The sequence below is a fragment of the Homo sapiens genome, chromosome 11, assembly GCF_000001405.40.
Source record: "Homo sapiens chromosome 11, GRCh38.p14 Primary Assembly".
In the NCBI taxonomy this organism is placed as follows: Eukaryota; Metazoa; Chordata; class Mammalia; order Primates; family Hominidae; genus Homo; species Homo sapiens.
In genome coordinates, this window is record NC_000011.10 from 107927852 (window position 1) to 107944614 (window position 16763).

General features: G+C 44.7%; 1 protein-coding gene across 1 annotated transcript in view, besides 2 other annotated features; it reads left to right on the plus strand.

Moving 5' to 3' along the window:
- Positions 333-822: a silencer, noted in NCBI's record as "silent region_3874". NCBI's record gives its function as "represses an Ori minimal core promoter by ATAC-STARR-seq in GM12878 lymphoblastoid cells {active_cell/tissue: GM12878}" and the evidence as "EXISTENCE:reporter gene assay evidence [ECO:0000049][PMID:35858748]".
- RAB39A (RAB39A, member RAS oncogene family) overlaps positions 597-16763 on the plus strand; it is a 35035-nt gene continuing 18868 nt past the window's right edge. Inside the window, exon 1 of the mRNA NM_017516.3 lies at positions 597-944. Within this exon, the coding sequence (NP_059986.1) occupies positions 718-944 (227 nt within the window). The 5' untranslated portion in view covers positions 597-717. The remainder of the gene's footprint in view (positions 945-16763) is intronic.
- Positions 853-1072: a silencer, noted in NCBI's record as "silent region_3875". NCBI's record gives its function as "represses an Ori minimal core promoter by ATAC-STARR-seq in GM12878 lymphoblastoid cells {active_cell/tissue: GM12878}" and the evidence as "EXISTENCE:reporter gene assay evidence [ECO:0000049][PMID:35858748]".

Here is a 16763-nt window from a genome sequence, read left to right on the forward strand (position 1 = left end):
TGAACCTAGGAGTTTGAGACCAGCCTAAGCAACATAGCGAGACCACATCTCTAAAAAAAAAATTTTTTTTTAACCCAGAAGAAAATTAGCCAGGTGTGATGGCTCACACCCGTGGTCCCCGCTGCTTGGGAGGCTGAGGTGGGCAGATCGCTTGAGGCTGCAATGAGCCGAGATCTCACCACATCAATCCAGCCTGGGGGACAAAAAAAAAAGAGGAATCAAAGCAATGACCCAAGTTATGGCCTCAGGGACTTCCAAAATCAGAGCCCTAATCTGACCAACCCGCCCTGACGCCTGTAAGAAAACGACTCTCACTTTTCATTGGCTGACCCTCCCGGAGTTGAGACCTTGCTTCATTTTCCTTGGTTGTTGCTGCTGTCACGTCTTCCCGCCACGCCCACTTTCCTGCCGGCGCCCAGTGAGCGTTGAGGGAGAGTGATTTGCAGCCGGTCAGGGGCGGGAGTTCGCGGCAGCAAACCTGCTTCCCCCTCCCACGCGCCACCGCCCCCGCCCCGCCCCCGTCCAGAGGCCCCGCCCCTAGCCGGGCCTGGCCCCGCCTCTCTCTCCCGAGAGGGCGGGCACCAGGCGGCGGCCGCAGCCGCAGGAATATGCTGGAAGGCGGCGGGCGGGCGCCCGCGAGGTGCTGAAAGGACAGTTCCCGCCGCCGAACTTAGCCCGCGGGTGGGGCGGCCCGGGAGCCAGCGGGGCACGTGAGCGATGGAGACCATCTGGATCTACCAGTTCCGCCTCATCGTGATCGGGGACTCCACCGTGGGCAAGTCCTGCCTCCTGCACCGCTTCACCCAGGGCCGCTTCCCCGGGCTGCGCTCCCCCGCCTGCGACCCCACCGTCGGCGTGGACTTCTTCTCCCGCCTGCTGGAGATCGAGCCGGGCAAGAGGATCAAGCTACAGCTCTGGGACACGGCGGGACAGGAGCGGTTCAGGTAGGGACCCCGGGGACCTTGGGCACCGCGCCGCCCCCTCAGCCCGCCCGGACGCCCCTTCCCCAGGCGTCCGCCCCGCCGGCCCTGGTCGGGAGAGGCTCTGGCCCTTCCCTCTCGAAAGTGCAAACACTCCATTCTCGCTTCCCCTTTGCCCCTCCTCTTCCAGGGACGACTTCCTCCTCCGCAATTTCTCACTTCTTTCTTTGGCGCCCATTTCCTGCGCCCCCTTTCCATCTTTCCTTTCCCGCCTGAACCGGGGTCGTCCTCGCCGCCCCCTCTTCCCCAACTCTTTCAGCCCCTGTGGGTATTTTTATCCCCTCCGGCTCCCCGGCTGCCTTCTTCCCAAACTCGGCTTCCCTGGCTGCGCACAGCATGACCCGACCACCCTCCTCCAAGCAGGCGCCCCTTTTCCTACCCTAACCCAGCGGCTCCCACGCTGTGTGGCCGGGGAGAACCGCGAGGGAGGGTTCCCAGATTCGTGATGGATCCTTTAGCTTCACAGCAAGGAGCGCTCCAACCCAGGTTCCTGCATGAGCTCACTGGGCATGGTTCACAGAGAGGTGGATGCGGTAATGGTTTGGGCACCTCACAGCACTGAATGTGGTCATCAGAAATACTGGGTCATGACCCGTGGGAATGGGTCTTGTAGGTTAACTAGATGCAACATCAGGGACACTGGCACAGCTGAGGGTGTGTGTGTGTGTGTGTGTGTATGTGAAGGGTTGAGTTGTCTTTAGAAGTTTGTCATGTTTGGTGGGAAAAAGACATATATTGAGATTCGCCAGGAACTTTAATTTTGCTTATGATCAGTACTTAACGTTCCAGGGTGATAATATTTCTAAAGACAGAAGGAGGGATCCAAATGAATAGTCTCCTCCTAAATATCCGCTGGGGACATGAAGGGTTTCACAAAGGCGACTTGTGTAAATAAAAAGTAAATGAAATTATATGCATTTCCTGAATATTTGAGATGGAAGCAGGTTTAAAGCAAATTTTAAATGTCTAGGATTCAAAGGCACTTCGTTTTAGAGGAAGATGGTGAAACTGATGTATTGTACTGTTCTGTTTCTTAAAGACTGCATTATCCATTGGAACTCATTTAAGGAAGCATTTTGCGTTAGTCAGCAAGTACTCTGCTTGTGAAATGCAGTGTTCCATGAGGGGACTTCCCAAACATGGCTTCCCCTCGCCCCCAGCCAGCATCACTGCGAATGAGATCAGCCTACATCTGTGAGAATGGTCCAACATTCAAAGTTTTGGCTTCCGTTCCTAGCAATGATGCTGATTCATAGAGATAATGAGTGAACTGCTTAGCTTGCTTATACCTTAGTTTTCGTGTGTGTGAAGTGGAAAGATGGTAAGGCCAGCGCTTCAGAGAGGTGTTAAAAGATTATTGATTGGATTTGTACAACACGTAGAATTCCATGAAAAATGTTTTTCCTTTTCAAGAAGCCTCCTTTTATTAAAATAATTTTTCAAATGTTTGATTCCTCATCTGTAAAATGAAAGTCGTCGTGATCTCTAACATTCCTTCCAGTTTTACCATTCTAAGTTGATTGCCAATTCCTTCACATGTGATCTCAATCAGAGGTAAACTTTGCGATATATCAGGCTCAGAAAAAAAGCATTTGCTGTTAGCTCTTGACCCCCCCTCTGAAGTGAATACAATAAAAACCTTTATGTCTTAAACTTCTAACAGCTACTTTGAGTTGCAACTACAAGACACATGGGTAATAAAATCTTATTGTGTTTAATTAGTTCCTTAAAAGTAGCTCAACTTGGCTGGGCAGGGTGGCTCACGCCTGTAATTCCAGCACTTTGGGATACTGAGGCGGGTGGATCACAAGGTCAAGAGTTCAAGACCAGCCTGGCCAATAAGGTGAAACCCTGTCTCTACCAAAAATACAAAAATTAGCTGGGCATGGTGGTGTGTGCCCGTAGTCCCAGCTACTCAGGAGGCTGAGGCAGGAGAATCGCTTGAACCTGGGAGGCAGAGTTTGCAGTGAGCCAAGATCACGCCACTGCACTCCAGCCTGGGTGACAGAGCCAGACTCAGTCTCAAAAATAAATAAATAAATAAATAAGTAGCTCAACTTATTGACAAGAAATTAAATGATAATTAATTTGTTAGACTTTAAAGACCTTTCTGCTAAATAGATGATAGAGATGATTGTTTTTTAACTTTTTTTTTTTTTTTTGAGACGGAGTTTCGCTCTTGTGGCCCAGGCTGGAGTGCAATGGCGCGATCTCTGCTCACTGCAAACTCCGCCTCCCAGGTTCCAGCAATTCTGCAGCCTCAGCCTCCCGAGTAGCTGGGATTACAGGCATGCACCACTACACCTGGCTAATTTTGTATTTTTAGTAGAGACGGGGATTTCCCCATGTTGGTCAGGCTGGTCTTGAATTCCCGACCTCGGGTGATCCACCTGCCTCAGCCTCCCAAAGTGCTGAGATTACAGGCGCGTGAGCCACCGCGCCTGGCCTAGATGATTGTTTTTTAATGCCTTGAAGAAGAATGTAAATAATAATTCATTTTATGTACATTATTAAAACCAAACAGTAACTCTCGCATTATAATGCAAGGACATTTAGGGAATGTTTACTGACAGTGAGTCATAATTTATTTTGTTTGGCTCTTTACCAAAGTTCTGTTTGTAAATACATACGTATTTCAGTAGCTACCTCCAAATACTTGCTTTTCTCTCATTTACCAGAATGTTTTACCTTAAGATTGCATTTAAAACAATTACTATTAAATCATTCTGTATCTTTCATCAAGAAATTACAGATTCTAATTTTGAATAATAGATATCATTGCATATTTTATTTTATAGAAAGGTACTGTAGGTCATGAAGATGTATTCCTGTCATTAGTCATAATCATATCATGAAGAATTTGTGGGAAATGTCATGTTTGAAGGTTTATTGGTGATTGGATATAAACTGACAAAAAGGAACCTACTTAGCTCATGAGGTAGCTTGAAAGCATAATAAATGTATTACAGAACAATAGGTTAGTGAGTTGGTAATTATGATCGTGATTAGCTTTCGTTTTCTTTCTTTCCTTCTTTTTTTTTTTTTTTTTTTTGAGACAGGGTCTGTCACTCAGGCTGGAATGCAGTGGCACAATGTTGGCTCACTGCAGCCTCCACCTCCCAGGCTCAAGCAATTCTCCTGCCTCAGCCTCCCAAGTGGCTGAGACTACAGACACACACCACCACGCCTAGCTAATTTTTGTATCTTTTTTTGTAAAGACAGGGTTTGGCCATGTTGCCCAGGTTGGTCTGAAACTCCTGGGCTGAAGCAGTCCACCCACCTCGGCCTCCCAAAATGCTGGGATTTCAAGCCTGAACCACTGCGCCAGGCCAGCCTTAGTTTTCAATGTTCAGACTAACATGCTAATAGAGGCTAACTACTTGCCTGAAATAAAAAGGGACAAAATCCAAGTGAAAAAGATTTAGAAAAATAATGTATATGTGAACATAACTGTAGATTTGTATATTAAAGAAATTTAGAATTACAGTGCCTTCATTAAAGATGAAAGTTTATTTCTCTCTTGTGTATAGAGTGGTCCAAGTTGGTGGAGTGGTTCTGCACCAGACCATCATTCAGTTTCCTTCTTCCTTAATTTTCTGCCATGCCTAGGATGTTACCATCATCTACATGAGCAAAGCTGGGTTATAAGCACACTGTGTGTCAGTTCAGGGGAAGGAGAAAGAGCAGCTCTATACCAAGCAAAGTTTCTTTTAAGCAAGTGAGGCCAACATGGTATAGATTCTTTCGGCTCTCAATTCATTGGGGAGATCTTAGTTACAAGGAGACACTTAGACTGGGCCATTATGTGCCTAGGATGTAGGAAAGATGCCTTTGGCACTGTAGGTGTTAGGGGAAGCTAGTAATCACTTTTTTATAAATTTTGGTTTTGTTTTGTTTTTTGAGACAATCTCGCTCTCTCATCCAGGCTGGGTGTGGTGGCCAGATCTTAGCTCACTGCAACCTATGCCTCCCAGGTTCAAGCAATTATTATGCCTCAGCCTCCCAAGTAGCTGGGACTACAGGTGTGTGCCGCCATGCCCAGCTAATTTTTGTATTTTTAGTAGAAATGGGGTTTCAACATGGTGGCTGGGCTGGTCTCGAGCTCCTGGGCTCGTGTAATCTGCCTACCTCAGCCTCCTAAAGTGCTGGGATTAGTTTAGCAGTAAAGGAAACGAGAATATTGTTTAATACAGTGTTAATAAGGATAACTATATTGGAAGAGCTAGGTGTATGGAGAGCATTAAGTGTAAGAATAGAAATTTTGAACTTTTCCCATAAAAAGCGTTTAAAGTTATATGAATATAATATGAGATAAATACATAGCAATGTTAGCTGTAGAATGGGAAACCTCTAGGCTTTGAGCCAGGTTTGGCCTTTTATCTGACGTTACCTGGCCTTTGGGGTATTAATGTCCTCCTCGTGCAGTGCTGTCAAGGAGTGCTCTGCAGAACACTCTTTCCTGTGATTCTTTATATATATATATGTGTGTGTGTGTGTGTGTGTGTGTGTGTGTGTGTGTATTTCTTTCCTTCTTTTTTATTCTTTCTTTTTTTTTTTTTTTTTTTTTGAGTCAGAGTCTCACTCTGTCACCTGGGGCTGGAGTGCAGTGAAACGATCGGCTCACTGCAACCCCCACCTCCCAGGTTCAAGCGATTCTCCTCCCTCAGCCTCCCGAGTAGCTAGGACCACAGGCATGCGCCACAGCACCTGGCCAATTTTTGTATTTTTAGTAGAGATGGAGGTTTCATCAAGCTGGTCTCGAACACCTGATCTCAAGTGATCTGCCCGCCTCGGCCTCCCAAAGTGCTGGGATTACAGGCATGAGCTACTGTGCCTCACCTGTGATTCTTTTTTTTTTTTTGAGATGGAGTCTTGCTCTTGTGCAGTGGCGCAATCTCGGCTCACTGCAACCTCTGCCTTCCAGGTCCAAGCGATTCTCCTGCCTCAGCCTCCTGAGTAGCTGGGATTACAGGCGCCCCAAGCTCAACTAATTTTTGTACTTTTAGTAGAGACGAGGTTTCACCATATTGGCCAGGCTGGTCTCGAACTCCTGACCTCAAGTGATCCACCCGCCTCAGCCTCCCAAAGTGCTGGGATTACAAGCGTAAGCCACCGCACCCAGCCTGTGATTCTTTTTAAAAGAAGCATTCTGTGATCAAGTAAGTTTGGAAATCCCTGTATTCCATATGGCACTCTCTTAAAAATTCATATCAAAGGCTCGAAGAAGTATTGCAGCAAAGAAACCTGTTTAACTTTGATTAACCTAGTATTTCCCAATTTATTTTAGGGGCTATTTTTAAAATATGAAAATCTAGGCTGGATGCGGTGAGTCACGTCTGTAATCCTAACACTTTGGGAAGCTGAGGCAGGAGAATTACTTGAAGCTAGGAGTTCAAGACCAGCCTAGACAACAAATCAAGACCCTGTCTCTAACCAAAAAAAAATTTTTTTAATTAGCTGGGCATGGTGGCATGGACCTGCATCCCCAGCTGCTCAGGAGGCTGAAGTAGGAGGGTGGTTTGAGCCCAGGAGGTCGAGGCTTCTGTGAGCTATGATCATGCCACTGCACTCCAGCCTGGGTGACAGAGCTAGACCCTGTCTCTAAAAAGAGGAAAAAGAAAATCTATGATAACTGGTGCTCTAAGGAGTATAATTTGGGAATAGCTCCCTTGATAAGTTGCCTTAGCATATTCTTTGAGCAGAACCACTAAATACTTGAGGTTTGTAGCAATGGAAGACCTGCAGACAAACTTAACCAATTAATTAACTTGGTTAAGGGCTGTAAGCAGTAAGTGCTATAAGAGAAAGCCTCAGGCCGGGCGTGGTGGCTCACACCTGTAATCCCAGCACTTTGGGAGGCCAAGGCGAGTGGATCACCTGAAGTCAGGAGTTCGAGACCAGCCTGGCCAAACATGGTGAAACCCCCATCTCTACTAAAAATACAAAAATTAGCCAGGCGTGGTGGCAGGCGCCTGTAATCCCAGCTACTCAGGAGGCTGAGGTGGGAGAATCGCTTGAACCCAGGAAGCGGAGGTTGCGGTGAGCCGAGATTACACCATTTCACTCCAGCCTGGGGGACAAGAGCGAGACTTCGTCTCAAAAAAAAAAAAAAAAAAAAAATAGAGACAGCCTCCCTCCTCTCCCTTCCCCACAGAATCTGGGAGCAGCCCCTAACTATTACCACTAAATCTTCCCGGCCTTTGCCTGCCTCTCCATGTTTTTTCCCCTAGCTCCTCTTCTGCTATGCATCTTTCTCCTTGCCAGGTGTCTTACTGTTACAGGAAAGGGGTCCCGATCCAGACCCCAAGAGAGGGTTCTTGGATCTTGCACAAGAAAGAATTCAGGGCAAGTCTGCAGTGTAAAATGAAAGCAAGTTTATTAAGAAAGTAAAGTGGTGAAAGAACAGCTACTACACAGACAGAGTAGGACGTACCTGAAAGTAGCAGGAGGAACGCATCCGCCCTAGGTACAATGCTTGTATATATATGAGGAGATGTGCTCTCTGCCACAAGGGTTTGTGATAAAGGATTAATTTTCTTTCTTCTTCTTTTTTTTTTTTTGGAGACAGAGTCTGGCTCTGTCGCCTAGGCTGGAGTGCAGTGGTGCGATCTCGGCTCACTGCAAGCTCCACCTCCCGGGTTCACACCATTCTCCTGCCTCAGCCTCCCGAGTAGCTGGGACTACAGGCGCCTGCCACCATGCCCGGCTAATTTTTTGTATTTTCAGTAGGGACAAGGTTTCACTTTGTTAGCCAGGCTTGTCTCGAACTCCTGACCTCAGGTGATTCACCTGCCTCGGCCTCCCAAAGTGCTGGGATTACAGGTGTGAGCCACCGCGCCCAGCTAATAAAGGATTAATTTTCTTAATTACCACATTTTGCAAGAATCGATATTATTATCTTTAAAGCAAAATTAGGAATGCCTTTGTTCTCCAGATATTGGAATATCTGGACACTCCCAAGTCTGGGTCTGTTTAGTAAACATTATTAATTTGTTCCCTTAGCCATAAACATCTAGAGGCTAGGAATGCCCAACTTTCTGGGGAACGCAGCCCAGCAAGTCCTGGCCACTTTTTTTTTTTTTTTTTTTTTTTTTGAGACAGTTTTGCTCTGTCACCCAGGCTGGAGGGCAGTGGTGTCATCCTGGCTTACTGCAACCTCTCCCTCTTGGATTCAAGCAATTCTCCAGCCTCCCAAGTAGCTGGGATTACAGGTGTGTGCCACCATACTCAGCTAGTTTTTGTATTTTTAGTAGAGACAGGGTTTCAGCATGTTGGCCAGGCTGGTCTCGAATTCCTGACCTCAAGTGATCCGCCCACCTCGGCCTCCCAAAGTGGTGGCATTACAGGCGTGAGCCACTGCACCTGGCGTCATTTTCCTAGCCCTTGCTCAAAATGGAGTCACTCTGGTTCGAATGCCTCTGACATTAGTCCCCCTCCAGCTTATTTTTATTTTTTCTTTACCCCTTTCCTCTGTCTATCCATACTGATGTTTACTTTCATCCTCTTCCCCCCACCCCATTTTTATTTTAATGTGTCTCTTACTCTTCCATTTCCTTTTAGCTTATCTTCCCTTATCCCACTGGCTTATCTTCTCTTCTCCCACTGGCTACCGCATGTGTCTGTTTTCTCTTCTGCCTCTTCCAAACATCCATATAAAGTTAATGTTTCAAAGTGATTTAATTTATGTACTCTGTTCTTAATTTTAAAAGCAAGCAATATTAACATTTTAAATTTCTTCTTAAGAGACTTTTTAAAATCTCTAAACTAAATTAGTTATTTTTGGTTTTGTTTCTTTTTAAAAAGTCCCTCATTTGATTCTCAGCTCCCTCACTGTGGTTCATGGCCTTCAAAAGAAAACGATTTTTTGTTCCTTCAGTAGAAAATGATTGGTACCAGTCTGGCAAACATGGTGAAACCCCATCTCTACTAAAAATACAAAAACAAATTAGCTGTGCATGGTGGTGCACACCTATAATCCCAGCTACTTGGGAGGCTGAGGCAGGAAAATCCCTTGAACCCAGAAGGTGGAGGTTGCAAGGTTGCAGTGAGCCGAGATTGCGCCCCTGCTCTCCAGCCTGGGTGACAGAGCGAGACTCCCCCTCCAAAAAAAAAAAAACAAATGAAGAAAATGATTGGTGGGTCCATAATTGCATAGGTAACAGAGCAGAGATGACCATAATCACTGCAGTCTACTGTAGTTCCAAGTTATTGTTAATAGAAAGGTCAGCTATAGTTCTATTATCAGGTAATATAATGTCTTAGTTAAAAGTGTATTGTAAGTAGTAGAAATCTAGCCAAATTCATTTATTTATTTGTTTTTTAGAGACAGAGTTTTGCTGTGTAGCCCAGGTTGAAGTGCAGTGGCACAATCATAGCTCACTGCAGCCCAAACTCTTGGGCTCCAGTGATCCTCTTACCTTAGCCTCCTGAGTAGCTAGGACTACAAGCACATGCTATGGCACCCAGCTAATTAAAAAAAAAAAAAATTTGTAGAGACAGGGTCTCGCTGTATTGCCCAGGCTGGTTTTGAACTTCTTGCTTCAAGTGATCCTCCCTCCTTGGCCTCCCAAAGTGTTGGGATTACAGCCATGAGCCACTGCACCAGGCCCAAATTAGTTTAATAGGGAATAAATTATAAATGATACAGATTTCATGAAAGCAAAAGCTCACTGAACATCCAGGTGTTTGGAAGTATGGAATTATTACTATTTTTTTTTTTTTTGAGATGGAGTCTTGCTCTGTCGCCCAGGCTGGAGTGCAGTGGCGCAATCTCGGCTCACTGCAAGCTCCGCCTCCTGGGTTCAAGTGATTCTCCTGCCTCAGCCTCCCAAGTAGCTGGGATTACAGGCACCTGCCACCATGCCCAGCTAGGAAGTATGAAAAATTTTAAAACAAGAGTTTGTGGACTTCCCCTCTAGTCTATTTCCCTTCTCCAACTCTGTTGGCTCCTAGCTCTCAGTCTCTGAGCCTCTTATTCAAACTCTTGAAAGAAAAAATATCTCATTGACTACTTAACTATCCAGTGAATCAGCTCCCCTGCAGTCAGGTTATTGAGTTACACAGACATATAATACAAATGTATTATAACATAAATATACTAAGTAGGTATTATGGGTCAGATAATGTAAATGTATCTGTAAAGGTCCACTTTTTTGGAAAGAGAAATTCACAGAGAAGGGAAATGAGCAGTCACCCCCAAAGTGTCTATTTTATGGTGTTTGAGAGTAAAATGGTATATAAGAATGAGATGGCCAGGCATGGTGGCTCACGCCTGTAATCCCAGCACTTTGGGAGGCCGAGCCGGGCGGATCACCTGAGGTCAGGAGTTCGAGGCCAGCCTGGCCAACATGGTGAAACCCAGTCTCTACTAAAAATACAAAAATTAGCCGGTTATGGTGCACACCTGTAATCCCAGCTACTCGAGAGGCGGAGGCAGGAGAATTGCTTGAACCCAGGAAGAGGAGGTTGCAGTGAGCCGAGATCACGCCACTGCACTCCAGTCTGGGCAATAGAGCAAGACTCCGTCTCAAAAAAAAAAAAAAAAAAAAAGAATGAGACAGCATCGTTTCTAACAAGTGCACCAGAGTGCCAAAAGATGATCTGTGTAGCCAGACATTTTTAGGCACAGTGGCTCATGCCTGTAATCCCAACACTTTGAGAGGCCAAAGCGAGTGGATCTCTTGAGCCCAGGAGTTCGAGACCAGTCTGGGCAACATAGTGAGACCTCGTCTATAAAAAAAAAAAAAAAAAAAAAATTAGGTGGGCATGGTGGAGTGCCCCTGTAGTCCCAGCTACTTGGGAGACTGAGGTAAGACTATCACTTGAGTCCCAAAGGTCGAGGCTGCAGTGAGCCATGACTGTGCCACTGCACTCCAGCCTGGGCAACAGAGAGAGGCCCTATCTCAAAAAAAAAAAAAAGAAAGAAAAAGAAAAAGATTATTTTCAGTGTCTACTCAGAGCATTCAGAACATTTTGTGTGGTTGTATGATCAGTATAGTCTAGAAGCTAGCCAGACATTTGAAAACCTGTGATTATTTTTCTTTCTTTTCTTCTCCAATAAATTAATTGGTTTAGCAGTATATAGCCACAACCTCAGTGTTGCATTAGTCTGTGTAGGTAATTAATACATCCTGAAGTAAACTATTCACGCCTGTAATCCCAGCACTTTGGGAGGCCGAGGTAGGCAGATTGCCTGTGGTCAGGAGTTCAAGACCAGTGTGGCCAAGCTGGTGAAACCCCGTCCCTACTAAAAATAGAAAAAAATTAGCTAGGCGTGGTGGCATCCACCTGTAATCCCAGCTAATTGGAAGGCTAACACAGAGGAATCACTTGAACCCAGGAGGTGGAGGTTGCAGTGAGCTGAGATGGTGCCACTGCACTCCAGCCTGGGCGGCAAAGCGAGACTCTGTCTCAAAAAAAAAAAAAAAAAAAAGAGAGAGAGAAGTAGTTGAACAACCAAGACACACAAAATTATTAATAGTTGAAAATAACGTGGCCGGGCGTGGTGGCTCACGCCTGTAATCCCAGCACTTTGGGAGGCCGAGGCGGGCAGATCACAAGGTCAGGAGATCGAGACCATCCTGGCTAACACAGTGAAACCCCGTCTCTACTAAAAATACAAAAAAAAAAAAAAATTAGCCGGGCATGGTGGCAGGCGCCTGTAGTCCCAGCTGGAGGCTGAGGCAGGAGAATGGCGTGAACCCGGGAGGCAAAGCTTGCAGAGAGCCGAGATCATGCCACTGCACTCCAGCCTGGGCAATAGAGCCAGACTCCATCTCAAAGAAAAAAAAAAAGAAAAAAAAAAAGGAAAAGAACGTAATGAGAGACCTGCCTGGAGTATTTATATTTTAAAGAGAAGGAACACCAAAAGAGATAGCACCTCACCTTGAAATGTTATTTCATCTTGAAATAACATTTCCCTGTTGCAGAAGTATTGATATGTGGCTGATGGGTGTTGGAATTTTCTCTCGTCATGCCACAGCAGTGACCACCTATTCTGACTCACTGGCTTCATGTTGAGCTTTCAAAACAAGGGCTAGAAAAAGTTAAAGATATGGTTGTGAGTCCATGGATCACCGCAGTGAAGTTGTGTGAAGAAAAGTGCTTTACTCAGTCCGAGAGATGAAATTTCCAGGCATTGTCAGTCAATTTGGCTAGCATGCAATGATTTTTTGATAATTTACCTTCCATAGCAATGTGACTTAAAAGTTTGAAGAGGAATTTCTTGGAATTGTCCAAAAATATTTATTTTAATATATAAAGAACCAGTTATTTGTGTCCTGACTGATTTGGAGGGAATTTCCTTTCTTCTGGCCTGCTCTGTCAAGCAGTGGCAAAGAAAGGTAAGCCCCTTAAGTGATACTGAGGTACACACACAGACACACACCAGGGAATATCATCGGATATAATTTAAGCAATATTTTTATTTTTATTATTATTATTATTTTTTTTTTAGATGAGTCACATTCTGTCACCTAGGTTCTAGTACAGTGGCACGATCTCGGCTTTCTGCAACCTCTGTCTCCCGGTTCAAGCAATCCTACCACCTCAGCCTCCCGAGTAGCTGGGACTACAGGCGCACGCCACCACGCCTGGCTAATTTTTGTATTTTTAATAGAGAAGGGGTTTCACTATGTTGGCCCGGCTGGTCTTAAACTCCTGACCTCAAATCATCTGTCTGCCTCAGCCTCCCAAAGTACTGGGATTACAGGTGCGAGCCTGTTTTAATTATCTCAAGAGCAAAATTCCTACAAGCTTATACTTCATGATTTTAATAAATCTGCCTCTAAATGTCAGTAACTGTTAATCAATTCTGATAATATATGATTCAGGGAAGTTTGCTTTAAAAATGACCACCTCGGCCGGGTGTGGTGGCTCATGCCTGTAATCCCAGCACTTTGGGAGGCCGAGGTGGTTGGATCATGAGGTCAGGAGACTGAGACCATCCTGGCCAACGTGGTGAAGCCCCATCTCTACTAAAATACAAAAAATTAGCTGGGTGTGGTGTGGCATGTGCCTGTAGTCCCAGCTACTCAGGAGGCTGAGGAAGGAGAATCACTTGAACCCGGGAGACAGAGGTTGCAGAGAGCCGAGATCACGCCACTGCCTTCCAGCCAAGCGACAGAGCAAGAGTCCATCTCAGAAAAAAAAAAATCCACTTCACACAATCTACCTGTCCTATTATAAGTTAGGTAGATACTAGGAAGTTCCTAGCTATAAGAGAAGACATTATGAAGAAAGATTATACGTTCTCAAATTATAGGCATTGCGTATCATTTTTCTTTACAGTAGCATTTTCAACATGATATTAATAGACGTAATTTGAGAAAAGGGTTTCTTGATCAAATAGTTTTGAAAATGCTGGGTCATTGCAGGACTTCTCAGACGACTTTTAATATACTAATACACATTGTGAACCCCCAAGGCAGATATGGTGTTTCCCAACCCAGAGTCCTATTACACAGTGTTTTGCAGTACTAGTGTTCTGCAAAACATACTTTAGGAACTGATACCTGAAAGAAAAAGTGTAGGCAATTCCTTAAATTTTAGGAATATATTTGAGGACCTCTTGCAGTTTATTCTCTCATATGATTCTCTATGTCTTGCTGATGCTTCTGGATGATTTCCTCAACTCTCCCTTTTTAAATACTTGATTACTATATTTTAGGTAAAGATCTAATAGCTCTTGAGAGTCCCTAATTTTTGTCCCCTCATTCAAAATTAAAAGATTTATCTTCTTGCCTGACCTCTAGTCACTTGTCATATTTTTACACAGATCATATAAAGTATTAGCACTTGTTTTAAGCACAAAGCCTTCCGATGAGAATCACTAGTAAATCTGGATGAAAGATAAAGGAGCAAATGGACAAATGATCATAATTTTAGATTTCTTAGATATAAAAAGGCTATAGAAAGTCTATGGGATTACGAAAGCAAAATTTAATGAAGCTAATAGGAGGGGAAATTTAAGACAGATTCGGGCCAGTCGCAGTGGCTCACGCCTGTAATCCCAGCACTTTGGGAGGCTGAGGCTGAGGCGGGTGGATCACTTGTGGTCAGGAGTTGGAGACCAGCCTGGCCAACATGGTGAAACCCTGTCTCTACTGAAAATACAAAAAGTAGCTGGGTTTGATGGCAGACACCTGTAATCCCAGCTACTGAGGAGGCTGAGGCAGGAGAATCGCTTAAACCTGGGAGAGGGAGGTTGCAGTGAGCCAAGATCGTACCACTGCTCTGCAGCCTGGGCAACAGAGAGAGATTCCATCTCAAAAAAAAAAAAAAAAAAAAAAAGACTGACATTTGATAGAACAGATGGGTAGATCCTAAAAAGATAATCAAAAATGGAATAGAAAGTATAATTTTTGTATAGCAGAGAACTTTTGGAAGAGAAGAAAAAGAGTAAGAGGTAAATTGAAAACAAAGTCCAAGTGAAGAAGAAAGGACACATGAGAAAACTACAGAGGTCAACCACGCTGTGGTCAACATTTTGGCCATTTTGATAGGTAAGTAACTACAGCCATTGGACTGGGAAGGAGCAGAGAGACAATCTAAAACAACAGTCTCTTGATTTATTTGTTTTTTGAGATGGGGTCTTGCTCTGTCACTCATGCTGAAGTGCAGTGGTGTGATCATAGCTCACTGCAGCCTGGAACTCCTGGGCTAATTTTTGTTTGTTTGTTTAGAGATGGGGTCTTGCTCTGTTGCCTAGGCTGGAACTCTTGGTTTCAAGTGATCCTCCTGCCTCAGCCTTCCAAAGTGCTGCGATTACAAGCATGAGCTACCAACACTCAGCCTCATTTCTTATATAATTAATGTCCATAGAGGCTGTTACTTGCCCAAGGCCTTATAGTTTATTAGTGGTTTGCACAAGAACCTAGTTCTCTGAACGTTTTCAGTGCTCTTCCTGCTATGCCCATCCTCTTGTCATGGTTGAAACAAGTTTTAATGGCATGTTGTATGGGGTGTGTGTGTGTGTGTGTATGTCTCCAGAGGGCAAGCTAGAATTTTGTATAATTTCTGTCCTGAAAAGTATTTTGGTTTGCATACAACTCAACTTCCCATCCCTGTAGACCCAAGTTCATTATTATGTTCACCCAAACCACTATTTTATTGTTATATTCTGAAAACAAAAGGAGAAATAGCTTTACACAATAGTAGCAATACAGATAACTGTCAGCAAACACCTATGGCATCAGTAACAAATAACCCTCCCCTCTGTGCAATACTCAGTGACTACACTGCTACACTTAGTAACAGTAATGAACTTTAACACTGAAGTGGAGAAACTTCTGTGAAATGGTTAGCCTTGTTAGATAAGAAGAAGTGTTGGGTATTGGGCAAAGCTGGGCACATACTGAATGTGATGTTCTAAAGCTTCATAAGTACTATGAAATAGCTTTCCAATCCTTAAATGCTGTCCCATTTTTTTTTTCTGGAGAAGATGAAATTAATCAGGACAGGCTGGGCGCAGTGGCTCACACCTGTAATCCCAGCACTTTGGGAGGCCCAGGTGGGCGGATCACGAGGTCAGGAGATTGAGACCATCCTGGCTAACACGGTGAAACCCTGACTCTACTAAAAATACCAAAAATTAGCCAGGTGTGGTGGCGAGTGCCTGTAGTCCCAGCTACTCGGGAGGCTGAGGCAGCAGAATGGCGTGAACCTGGGAGGCGACGGTTGCAGTGAGCCGAAATTGCACCACTGCACTCCAGCCTGGGTGACAGAGTGAGACTCCGTCTCAAAAAAAAAAAAAAAAAGAAATTAATCAGGACAAGGATTTACTTGTGGAAATCCATGCATTTATTTACCTTAAATATATGCCAGGCACTAAAGATAAAATAAATAAGTTATAGTCTCACATTCAAGGTCCATACAGTCTCTGTACTGGGTAGAATCCAGGCTACACTGCTATAACAGACTGCCAAGATATGGCAACTTAAATAATGTAGAGCTTTATTTCTCTCTTATAATAGTAGTCCAGAGGCTGGGTGCAGTGGCTCATGCCTGTAATCCCAGCCCTTTGGGAGGCTGAGGCGGGTGGATTACTTGAGGTCAGGAGTTCAAGACCAGCCTGGCCAACATGGTGAAACCCCATCACTACTAAAAATACAAAAATTAGCTGGACATGGTGGCAGTTGCCTGTAGTCCCAGCTACTTGGGATGCTGAGGCAGGAGAATTGCTTGAACTCAGGAGGCAGAGGTTGCAGTCAGCCAAGATCGTGCTACTGCACTCCATCCAGGGCGACACAGTGAGACTCCATCTCAAAAAAAAAAAAAAATAATAATAGTAGTCCAGAATGAGCAGTCCTGGATAATCAGGGGGCTCTGCCTCAACATCAGTTTCTAGGGTTCTCTAGTCATTTTCATTTCTTAGCAAGCAGGAAGGAAAAAGAGGAAGCATGGGCAATTGACTTCTTCATGTAGATGAATGTCAGACTGCACACGATCCTTCTTATATCCCATTGATCCAAATTTAGTGTCATGGCCACAACTAGCTGCAGGAGAAGCTGGGGAATATAGTCTCTCGATGGGTTGCTATGTGTCAGCTAAAACTCCTGGAGGTCTGTTAATAGATACTGGAGGCTAGTCAGTGGTCTTTCTCACAGACTTATAGCAAAGAAAGAAAATAATCTCGGCTCAAGGCAACCTCCACCTCCCAGATTCTCCTGTCTCAGCCTCCCAAGTAGCTGGGATTACAGGTGCGTGCCACCATGCCCGGCTAATTTTTGTATTTTTAGTAGAGACAGGGTATCACCATGTTAGCCAGGCTGGTCTCGAACTCCT